This window comes from Homo sapiens, chromosome 11 (assembly GCF_000001405.40).
Source record: "Homo sapiens chromosome 11, GRCh38.p14 Primary Assembly".
Classification (NCBI taxonomy): domain Eukaryota; kingdom Metazoa; phylum Chordata; class Mammalia; order Primates; family Hominidae; genus Homo; species Homo sapiens.
In genome coordinates this window covers 46,621,862-46,634,284 of record NC_000011.10, presented here as the reverse complement: position 1 = coordinate 46,634,284, position 12,423 = coordinate 46,621,862, and the positions used below count along the sequence as shown (strand labels likewise).

Genomic DNA, 12,423 nt, shown 5'->3' with positions numbered 1-12,423 from the left:
CTATTAAAAATGCAAAAAAACGTTAGCTGGGTGTGGCGGTGCATGCCTGTAATCCCAGCTACTGAGGAGGCTGAGACAGGAGAATCTCTTGAACCTGGGAGGTGGAGATTGCAGTGAGCTGAGATCGTGCCACTGAACTCTAGCCTGGCGATAGAGCAAGACTCCATCTCAAAAAAAAAGAAAAAAAAAATCCCAGGCAAACTCAGCTGAGAAAATAGGTTATGTGACTTCAAAAAGGCGATCAGAGGCCTGCTGACACTTTCAGCAAAGAGTCTAGTCACTGAAAGTGGCAAAAGGTGATCCTGTACCAAAGTCCAGGATTTCAATATTCAGGCTTAGGAAACTAAAAAATTGCTTTCATTTATTTGTGGTCTTAATGAAGTAAAAGAAACTAATTTTATTAATTCAATCAAGGTTTTGGGGACAACACAAGTTAAAAGAGACTGTTTATATAGCATATAAATATATTTTTTGGAAACAGGGTCTCACACCGTTACCCAGGCTGGAGTGTAGTGGCGCAATCATAGCTCACCGTAACCTGGAACTCCTGGCCTCAAGCAATCCTCCCACTTAAGCCTCTCGAGTAGCTGGGACTATAAACTCGCAACACCATGTGCAGCTAATTAAAAAAAATTTTTGGCCAGGCACGGTGGCTCACGCCTGTAATCCCAACACTTTGGGTGGCAGAGGCAGGCGGATCACCTAAGGTCAGGAATTCAAGACCAGCCTGACCAACACGGCGAAACCCCGTCTCTACTAAAAATACAAAATTAGCTGGGCGTGGTGGCGGGCGCCTGTAATCCCAGCTACTCAAGAGGCTGAGGCACAAGAATCACTTGAATACAGGGGGCGGAGGTTGCACGAGCCAAGATTGCGCCATTGCACTCCAGCCTAGGCAACAAGAGCAAAACTCCGTCTCCAAAAAAACAATAATTAAAAAATAAAATAAAATAAAATTTTTGGGGGCTGGGTGCAGTGGCTCACGCTTGTAATCCCAGCACTTTGGGAGGGTGAGGCAGGTGGATCATGAGGTCAGTTCTAGACCAGCCTGACCAACATGGTGAAGCCCCATCTCCACCAAAATATACAAAAATTAGCCAGGCATGGTGGCAGGCGCCTGTAATCCCAGCTACTTGGGAAGCTAAGGCAGGAGAATAGCTTGAACCCGAGAGGAGGAGGTTGCAGTGAGCCGAGATCCCACCACTGCACTCCAGCCTGGGCGACAGAGCAAGACCCCGTTGCCAAAAAAAAAAAAAAATATATATATATATATATATATATTTTTTTTTAATGGGGGTCTTGCTCTGTCGCCCAGGCTGGTCTCAAACTGCTTGCCTCAAGTGATCCTCCCACCTCCATCTCCCAAAGCACTGGGATTACAGTTGTGAGCCACTGTGCTAGGCCCATGATTCCAATTTTTGAGAAAGTAGAGAGAAAGAGATGTGTCAAGTAATAAGGATGTTATCTTTCCTAAAAAGATACTGTTTTGGGAAGTAAAATAGTACCAGATGGTTACCTGGTATCACCCCACACTATAAACTTCACACATCCTTCTCTACCACAGGGGCAAGTGGTTTTGTGGTTCTACTGCCAAAAGTCTATAGAGGTACCGGACCTGACAATGTATGTATTTGACTTTCTTCTCTTCAGACTTTGTAGACTACTTACTGCTACAATTCTTGTTACAGCCAAAATGACTGTCTACATTAAGGGTGGAGACTCCTTGATAGTATAGGTTTTAAGGCCACACATCAGCTGCTAGGAGACTAAGCCAAAGAAAAAGAGCTTTTAGGTTACCACTTACTTCAAATCAAGGCCACTTTACCTTTGAGCATTCTAGTCTCTCATTTACTTTGCAACTTTTCTGCAAGTTCTTCAAATGTCTTGCCTCTTTCCTGCTAATATGCTGAATATGTAAGTTCATGTGAGCTGCTTACTATCTTGTTATTAAAATTTTCTGTCCTAGGGATATAACCCAATTACTATGTATAATTTCAGATTTTCACAAAAAAATTTATGCAGTTCCCATTCATGAATAATTGATTAAATTTATCATGTCACTGTTTCTAAAATGCCTTAATCAGGTAAAAAAAAATTATACTCTATAATGTTCCCACAAATATTGCTATCCCTTTAAACTTCATCTACACTTATTGTCCTGTGACTTGATACTTATAGGTTTTCTTGTCTTAGAAGTAATCTCATTTAATTAAGACCTTTCTTCATGATAAGACAGTTGAGTAATAAAAACTATTTATTGGACTTTAAATAGCAATTTCAATTTTGCAACATCTCTGCACATCACTTTTGCAAATAGAAATTCCTAACAAATAACACTTTGAGGTTCCCAAAGTGTAAGAGAACATGCATAGACTTGTATCAGACTAAATGGTTGTTTTTGTTTTGAGACAAGGTCTTGTTCTGTCATCCAAGGTGGAGTGCAGTGATGCCATCATAGCTCACTGCAAGCCTGGACCTCCTGGGCCCAAGTGATCCTCCCATCTCAGCCTCTCAAGTAGCTGAGACCACAGGTATATGTCACTACACCCAACTAATTTTTTAATTTTTTGCAGAGACCTGTGGGGTGGGTCGGGTGTCTCCGTTTGTTCCCCAGGCTGGTCTTGAACTCCTGGCCTCAAACGATCCTCTCACCTCAGCCTCCCAAAGTGCTGGGATTATAGCTGTGAGCCATGGCACCCAGACCAGACTAAATGTTTTTGAACAATTACTGAAAAAACAAATTATCCCATTGTTAGATAATGCCCATAGATAATCGCTGACTTCCAAATGCTGGACAGAAGATTCTATCACACTACTTAAGTGCAAAAGATAATAATGAACGAATGGAAAACAACATTTAACTAGGTAAGCAAGTTCTCTACATCTTTTACTTACTTTTGTACTGAAATTCTAATTTTAAATAAAGAAATAGGCCAGCTTGGTGGTCCAAACCTATAATCCCAGCACTTTGGAAGCCGAGGTGGACAGATTACTTGAGCCAGGAGTTTGAAACTACAGTGAGCTATGATTGCACCACTGCACTCCAACTTAAGTAACAGAGTGAGACCCTGTCATTCATTAATTTACACTTACATACATACATACATATAGGGTTCTACTTAAATAGGCAGATAAGACATATTTATCTAAATTATCTTCCTAATCCTCAATTAAAAGCACAGACATAAAAAAGCTATAAATAAAACCCAAAGATAGAAGAAGAAATAACAAATCAAAGAAGTCAACGAAGTATTGGAAAATAAAAAGTGAATAGGCTGGGCATGGTGACTCACATAGGTAATCCCAACACTTTGGAAGGCCAAGGTGGGATGATCTCTTGAGCCCAGGAGTTTGAGACCAGCCTGGACAACATGGAGAGATTCTGTCTCTACAAAAAATAAAAATTAAAAAAAAAATTAGCCAGTTGTGGTGGCATGCACCTGTGGTCCCAGCTACTTGGGAGGCCAAGGCAGGAGGATCACTTGAGTCCAGGAGTTCAAGACCAGCCAGGGAACATAGTGACACCTTGTTTCTGCAAAAAAAGTAAGTAGCCGGGCATGGTGGCATGCACCTGTAGAGCCAGCTACTGGGAGGCTGAGGTAGGCAGATTGCTTGAGCTGGAAGGTCAAGGCTGCAGTGAGCTGTGATTGCACCACTCCACTGCATTCCAGACTGGGTCATAGAGGGAGACCCTGTCTCAAAAAAAAAAAAAAAAAGCCTCTAATTTCTTGCCAAGGCCAAGCATAAGTCTACCTATCAGCTTTCTGGATGTAACAAGCACAGTGAGAAATCAGGTAAATTGATTTTTACCATATTTATCTCCATTTGGCCTTTGTAACTGGTCCACTCACTCATCATGAAACACACAAGCGGTGTTTGGTATTTCTGAATCTGGAGCCTTCCCTGAACCTTAGCTACCTAGAACCTCCAGTCTGGAACCATTACAGGGTTCTTGGTTCAAATCAGTTCACTTCCTGTTCCAACTTCATTTCACTCCCAGGCTGCTGCTTCTTCTGCATTGTTAAACCAGTTAAAATTCCTCCTCTAGGTTTCCTTCTCCCAAAAATGTAGAGAATCTCTCCTTCTCAGCTTTTCCCATTCTATTCTTGCATGTTTACATCCATTTTATTCCTTTACTATAATTTTATATGGCTTAAAAAGAAATGGGGCCTGGTGGCACATACCTGTAGTCCCAGCTACTCAGGAGGCTGAGGCAGGAGAATCACTTGAGTCCAAGATGCTGTAGAGAAATATGATCATGACTGTGAATACCACTGCACAACAGCCTGGGCAACAGAGCGAGACCGCATCTCTTTAAACAGAAATTTGTGCCATATCCAATTCTGCCTGTTACTTAGTATCTTTGGGACGACACAGCCTTAGGAGACCAAAAATAAAATGAATAAATAAATAAATAAATAAACAGAACAGATATATGTAGTCACTCTGTCATGTTTAACCAGAAATTTGTAATCAGTCAAAAATTCATGATATTATGGAGCTTGTATTCTAACAAGGGGGAGCTGACAATAAAAATAATTAAAATATGTTTGAAAGTATTAAGTGCTTATTAAGATTAAGCAGGGTCGGCCAGGCATGGTGGCTCATGCCTGTAATCCCAGCATTTTGGGAGGCCGAAGCGGGTGGATCATCTGAGGTCAGGAGTTCGAGACCAGCCTGACCAACATGGAGAAACCCCGTCTCTACTAAAAATACAAAAATTAGCCGGGCGTGATGGCGGGCTCCTGGAATCCCAGCTACTTGGGAGGCTGAGGCAGGAGAATCGCTTCAACTCAGGAGGCAGAGGTTGCAGTGAGCTGAGATCATGCAATTGCACTCCAGCCTGGCAACAAGACTGAGACTCTGTCTCGGAAAAAAACAAAAACAAAAACAAAAACCTCCTTGTGAACACAAATAGATGAATCTCACATAATACAAAGTGAAAGCGCACACAAAAATACACACTATGAGTGTGACTGCATCTATACCATGCTCTAGAAAAGGTAAATGTAATCTCTTGTGACAGAAAACAGATCAGTATCAGACAGGTGCAGTGGCTCACACCGGTAATCACAGCAATTTGGGAGGCTGAGGTGGGTGGGGCATCTGAGGTCAGGAATTCAAGACCAGCCTAGCCCACATGGTGAAACCCCACCTCTACTAAAAATACAAAAATTAGCCAGGCATGGTGGCGCACATCTGTAGTTCCAGCTGCTTGGAAGGCTAAGGTGGGAGGATCTCTTGAGCCCAGGAGGAGGAGGTTGTAGTGAGCCAAGATCGCGCCACTGCACACACGCTCCAGCCTGGGTGACACAGTGAGACTCCGTCTCCAAAAAAAAAAAAAAAGAAAACAGATCAGTATTGCTTGGGGCTGGGAGTGGAGGTAGAAATGGTAGAGGGAAAAGTTAAAGTGATAGGAATTTCCATGTTTTGATTGTGGTGGTGATTATAAGACTTATGCATTTGCCAAAATTTGTGAAACTGTAAATTTATAATGGATATAATTTATTTATGTCAATTACACCTCAACAAGTACATTTTTAAAAAGGATTGCTCAGGTTGCTGTGTAGAGAAGACTGTTAGATATATATGGACCTAATCTAATATTAACAATGAACAGTTAACCAATTAATATTTCCTTGATTTATTCTAAAAATGAATCCCAAATTCAGTTTTTCTGAGTAACAATTCCTGGCATATTAACAACATTGCTTTCACATTTGTATAATGCCTACTTCTACTTACATAAAATATATAAGCAGTAACCTCAAAACTATTAAAGAAATAATAGAATGTTTTACCTGTAATTAAAAAAAAAAACTATTTGCTGACAAATATTCAACACTTTGGATGCTTAAAACGCGGGGTTTTGTTTTCAGGTTTTTTTTGAGACAGAGTCTCACTCTGTCACCCAGACTGGTATGCAGTGGCACGATCTCACTGCAATCTCCACCTGCCAGGTTCAAGTGATTCTCCTGCTTCAGCCTCCCGAGTAGCTGAGACCAGAGGCACATGCCACCACACCAGCTTATTTTTGTATTTTTAATGGAGATGGGGTTTCACCGTGTTGGCCAAGCTGATCTAGAACTCCTGACCTCAGGTGATCTGCCCACCTCGGTCTCCCAAATGCTGGGATTACAGGCGTGAGCTACCATGCCTGGCCAAAATGCTTTTTTTCCTGCCTTTTTTTTTTTTTTTTTTTGAGACAAGGTCTCAATCCTTTGTCCAGGTTAGAGTGCAGTGGCCCGATCACAGCTCACTGCAGCCTCAACCTGCTGGACTCAGGTGATTCTCCCACTTCAGCCTCAGGAGTAGCTGGGACTACTAGCATGCCACCACACCCAGCTAATTTTTTGTATTTTTTTGTAGAGATGGGGCTTTGCCTTGTTGCCCAGGCTGGTTGTGAACTCCTGGGCTCAAGCAATCCTCCCGTCTCAGCCTCCCAGACTGCTGGGGATTGCAGGCATGAGCCACTGCGCTTGGCCTTAAAAATGCTCTTAAATTCAGGCCAGGCACGGTGGCTCACACCTGTAACCCCAGCACTCTGGGATACCGAGGCGGGCAGATCACCTGAGATCAGGAGTTCGAGACCAGCCTGATGAACATGGAGAAACCCCATCTCTATTAAAAATAAAAAAATAAAAAAATTAGCCAGGCATGGTGACACATGCCTGTAATCCCAGCTACTTGGGAGGCTGAGGCAGGAGAATCGCTTGAACCCAGGAGGCGAAGGTCGCAGTGAGCTGAGATCGCGCCATTGCACTCCAGCCTGGGCAACAAGAGCAAAACTTCTTCTCAAAAAAAGCTTTTAAACTCATGTTTATCATGCGAGAACATGTAGGTTTTGGAAGCATTAAAATTTAATTTATAATTTTACATTTCTCTGTATTTATTTATTTATTTTTTGAGACAGAGTCTTGCTCTGTCGCCCTGGATGGAGTGCAGTGGTGCAATCTCGGCTCACTGCAACCTCCGCCTCCCAAGTTCAAGTGATTCTTCTGCCTCAGCCTCCCAAGTAGCTGAAATTACAGGCACCTGCCATCATGCCCAGCTAATTTTCATATTTTTGTAGAGATAGGGTTTCATCATGTTGGCCAGACTGGACTCAAACTCCTGACCTCAGGTATCTGCCCACTGCGGCCTCCCACAGTGCTGGGATTACAGGCGTGAGCCATCACGCCCGGCCCGGGCTAATTATCTTATTTTTAGTAGAGATGAGGTTTTGCCATGTTGGCCAGGCTGGTCTCGAACTCCTGGCCTCAAGTGATCCATCCACCTCGGCTTTCCACAGTGCTGGGATTACAGGATTACCGCACCCGACCTTATTTCTTAAACTAACAGTGGAAGAGCAGATACAATCCTTTCCTGACATAGTCCTTTTTTTCTATAGCAAATGTTTACACCTTCCTCCTAACACTGTGGTTTCAAAGGGAGCTGTGCAATAAATGAAGATGGGGAAAATACTTCTTTATAGTATAATACAATAAATAAATGTAAGAATAGCAGACTTAGAAAATGACAATTTTGTAACCATTATAGGAATAACTGGTTCAAGCAAATCACCAAGGAATGCTAAAATTTCTGGGTGAAACTTTATTTACAAATGAGATATTTACACAATCTATGGGAACACAGGTTACTACTTATTAATTACAAAGAGAAACCTGGTGGATACAATCTTAACAAAGTCATCAAAGATAACATACTGATATTGGGGCTCAGAAATCAATACCCAGGCCGGGCGCAGTGGCTCACGCTTGTAATCCCAGCACTCTGGGAGGCGGAGGCGGACGGATCACCTGAGGTCAGGAGTTCGAGATCAGCCTGGCCAATATGGTGAAACCCTGTCTCTACTCAAAATAAGAAATTAGCCAGGCATGGTGGTGCGTGCCTGTAATCTCAGCAACTCGGGAGGATGAGGCAGGAGAATCATCTGAACCCAGGAGGTAGAGGCTGCAGTGAGCTGAGGTTGTGCCACTGCACTCCAGCCTGGGCACAAGAGTGAAACTCCCGTCTCAAAAAACAAAAGAGGCCAAGTGCGGTGGCTCACGCCTGTAATCCCAGTACTTTGGGAGGCCGAGGCGGGTGGATCACAAGGTCAGGAGATCAAGACCATCCTGGCTAACATGGTGAAACCCTGTCTCTACTAAAAACACAAAAAATTAGCTGGGCGTGGTGGTGGGCACCTGTAGTCCCAGCTACTTGGGAGGCTGAGGCAGGAGAATGGTGTGAACCTGGGAGACGGAGCTTGCAGTGAGCCAAGATCACATCACTGTACTCCAGCCTGGGCGACAGACTCCGTCTCAAAAACAAACAAACAAACGAAAGAAACAAAAGAAATCAATACCCCCAAATATGGCTATGCTAACCAAAGAAGCCTCAAGGTATCTCTGACACCTCACTCCATCCACACAAACCTTCTCTTCCAAAGCATACAGTAAAGCTTAAATTCCTTTATGCGCCTAAAATCCAGACCCACCTAAAGGAACAACTGTTCTTCTGTATGTTGTAACACCACAAATGTAACCACACCTAAATGGACCCTTTCACAAGATAATGTGCAGGTTAATCTCTGTTCCCTGATCCATTCATTCTCCCTAGTAATCCCCTCAGCGGAATTCCTCTTCTCCAGGTTTCCATAACCTGTTTTGCCAGAATGGTATATAACCTCTGAACCACCTGGGGGGATGGGCAATCACTCTGTGATAAATTTGTATGCCTTGGCCAGCCCAGTGACTCACGCCTATAATCTCAATACTTTAGGAGGCCGAGGCAGGAGGATAGCTTGAGCTCAGGAGTTCAAGATCAGGCTGGGTAACATTTATCTACAAAAATACAAAAAACTGGCTGGGTGTGGTGATGCTCACCTATAGTCCCAGCTACTCAGGAGGCTGATGTGGGAAGATCACTCGAACCCAGGAGGTATGGCTGCAGTGAGCTGTGATCATGTCATTGCACTCCAGCCTGGGTGACAAAGCAAAACCCTGTATCAAAAAAAAAAAAAAAAAAAAAAAAGAAAGAGCAAGCTATAGCAAAAGTACCTTAGGAAAAAAAAAATCTGTATGCCTTTTTTTCCAATTCATATGCCTTTTGTGAGTTGATTTTTCTTTTTTTTTTTTGGTAGCAACGCGATCTTGATATGTTGCCCAGGCTGGTCTGGAACTCCTGGCTTCAAGTGATCCTCCCATCTTGGCCTCCTAAAGTGTTGGGATTAGGATTACAGGTGTGAGCCACTGAACCTGGCCTTGTGAATGAGTTGATTATCTTTTGGAGACAAGGTCTCTGTTGCTCAGGCTGGAGTGCCATGATGATCATGGCTCACTGCAGCCTGGACCTCCCAGGCTCAAGCAATCCTCCCACCTCAGCTGGGACTACAGGTGCACACCACCATGCCCAGGTAATTTTTTATTTTTTTGTAAAGACAGCATCTCACTATGTTGCTCAGGCTGGTCTCAAACTCTTGCGCTCAGGCAATCCTCTCACCTCAGCCTCCCAAAGTGCTATGATTATTACAGCATGAGCAATCATGCCCAGCCAATGAGCTAATGAGCTGATTTTTTCAAGGGTGAGGGGGAACTTTCACCTTGGCCTGGACAACAATTGAAGAAACTGACTTCACATCCCTTCTGATGTGATGTATTACTTACATAGCTTTCTTGCTAAAACTGTATAACCTGAAACTAACCATGAGGAAGTGATTGGACAAGCTCAAATTGAAAGGCTGAAAATTTAATAATATAATGGGCTCGTCACTCTTCAAAAACGTCAGTGTTATAAAAGAACAAAAAAAAAAAAATCTGAAGATCCATTTTAGATTAAAGGAGAATAAAGTGTGACAACTAAATGCAAAGCTTGATGCTGGACCAGTTCCTGGATTTCTTAAAAAGTTTCTGTGAAGGACAGTACTGAAACAACTGGCAACATTTGAACCCAACTGTATACTAGGTAACAGTATTGCATCAATATTAAATTTCCTGAATTTGGCTGGTTGTGGTGGCTCACCTTTGTAATCCCAGCACTTTGGCAGGCTGAGGAGTGTAAACACTTGAGGTCAAGAGTTCGAGACCAGCCTGGCCAACATGGCGAAACCCTTTCTCTAGTAAAATACAAAAATGAGCCAGGTGTGGTGACGCATGCCTGTAGTCCCAGCTACTCAGGAGGCTGAGGCAGGAGAATCGTTTGAACCCAGGAGGTGGAGGTTGCAGGGAGCCGAGATTGCGCCACTGTACTCCAGCCTGGGTGACAGCGAGACTCCATCTCAAAAAAAAAAAAAATTCCTGAATTTGATAAAATTACATTTTGGTCCACATTCTTATTCATGAGATATAAGTAACATCTCTGAAGGGTTCAGAAAAAAAAAAAAGAATAAGAATGTGTAAATATAATGCAAAAATAATAGTTATACAATATATAGGAGAAAGAAAGTAATGTGGTAAAGAGTGAACAATGTGCAAATCTAAGGGAAGAGTACATAAAAATTCACTGTAATATTCTTCCAACTTTTCTGTAGATTTGAATTAAAAAAAATCAAATTAACAAATAAAAAAACTAGTTGCCAGCCAGGCACGGTGGCTCAGGCCTGTAATCCCAGCACTTTGGGAGGCCAAGGCGGGCAGATCATCTGAGGTCAGGAGTTCGAGACCAGCCTGGCCAACATGGTGAAACCCCATTTCTACTAAAAATACAAAAATTAGCCGGGTGTGGTGGTGCACACCTGTAATCCCAGCTACTTGGGAGGCTGAGGCAGGAGAACTGCTTGAACCCGGGAGGCAGAGGTTGCAGTGAGCCAAGACTGCGCCACTGCACTCCAGCATAGGTGACAGAGTGAGACTCTGTCTCAAAAAAACAAAAACAAAAACAAAAAAACAAAACTAGTTGCCATCATATGGTCCATAATAGAGTGGAGAAAAACTTTCACCCAGCATAAATGTCTTCTAAAATTAGGTCTCTTTCTTTATGGACGTACTTCAAATGCACTTTTTCTTTTCTTTGAGACGGGGTCTTGCTCTGTTGCCCAGACTGGAGTGCAGTGGCACAATCTCGGCTCACTGCAAACTCCACCTCCCAGGTTCGTGCCATTCTCCTGCCTCAGCCTCCAGAATAGCTGGGACCCCAGGTGCCCGCCACCACACACGGCTAATTTTTTTTTTTTGTATTTTTAGTAGAGACAGGGTTTCACCGTGTTAGCCCGGATGGTCTCCCGACCTCGTGATCCGCCCGCCTTGGCCTCCCAAAGTGCTGGGATTACAGGCATGAGCCACGGCACCCGGCCCAAATACACTTTTTCAAACAGCTAGAATGATGACTCTAGCTGTACTTCCAAGATTTCATCACAGCATATCCTTGCCTTAGAATGAAGGTGGCACTTGAACCACGGCCAGTCCACTACAGCCAAATCTAAAAGAAATATATACATACAGTGTATATAAACAAAATTGCACCCCGAAGATGACAGAGTTTTGTCACAGCTTGTGAATTCTGTTCAACAAGTGTTGGAATCTAATCTGCTTTGCCCCTAAAATAGCATTTACAAGTTTTGGATATGAAAAACAGAAGAGAGAAAAATACACATTATAAAAGCAGAACATACGTGTATCAGTTTTTGGATACTAAATGACAGCCTTGTTTCTCCCCTTTGATTCAGCAGACACCATGGATTATATTTTTTTCCCTTCAGTAGTCAGCAGTTTGAATGTACAGAGAAAATGGACTTACAAAAACTTTCCGCAGTAGTTTGTTCTTGCTTTAAAATTTTGTTTTTGGTTTAGATGATGAATGCATGAAGTAAGGGAGTGAATCAGTTTCTTGTTTATATTTTTTTCACTTTTAAACAACAAAAAATTATTTAAAATATTTTAATGCATTCTTGGCCAGGTGCGGTGGCTCACGCCTGTAATCCCAGCACTTTGGGAGACCGAGGCAGGCGGATCACGAGGTCAGGAGATCGAGACCATCTTGGCTAACATGGTGAAACCCCGTCTCTACTAAAAATATAAAAAATTAGCCAGGCATGGTAGTGGGCGCCTGTAGTCCCAGCTAGACGGGAGGCTGAGGCGGGAGAATCGCTTGAACCTGGGAGGTGGAGGTTGCAGTGAGCCAAGATTGCTTCACCGCACTCCAGTCTGGGAAACAGGGCAAATACCATCTCTAAAATAAATATATATATATATATATATATATATATATATATATATATATATATATATATGTAAATAAATAAATCTCTGAAGTGGCCTTTCATCAACAGGGTGGACTGAACTGATGCTGTCAGTTCCCCCTCCCACTACAAACACATAAAGATGTAGATAAAATGACAATAAAAATGTTCGGACACACAGCTGAACTAGAAAAATGGTAGATATTCCAGATTCCATAAAGAGTACAATCAAAGCTATAGATGTAAGGAAAATCTGATGCCAGGGA

The 12,423-nt window shown here is 42.7% G+C and overlaps 1 protein-coding gene across 54 annotated transcripts in view; it reads right to left on the bottom strand.

Annotated features, from left to right (window-relative positions):
• The window catches only part of ATG13 (autophagy related 13), a 56,966-nt gene that overhangs the window by 40,234 nt on the left and 4,309 nt on the right, over positions 1-12,423 (bottom strand). For 22 of the 54 annotated variants that reach the window (NR_144423.2, NR_144422.2, NR_144424.2 and 19 more), the window contains 1 exon segment: positions 4,185-4,240. The gene's annotated coding sequence lies outside the window, so the exon portion shown is untranslated. 54 annotated transcript variants of the gene reach the window in all.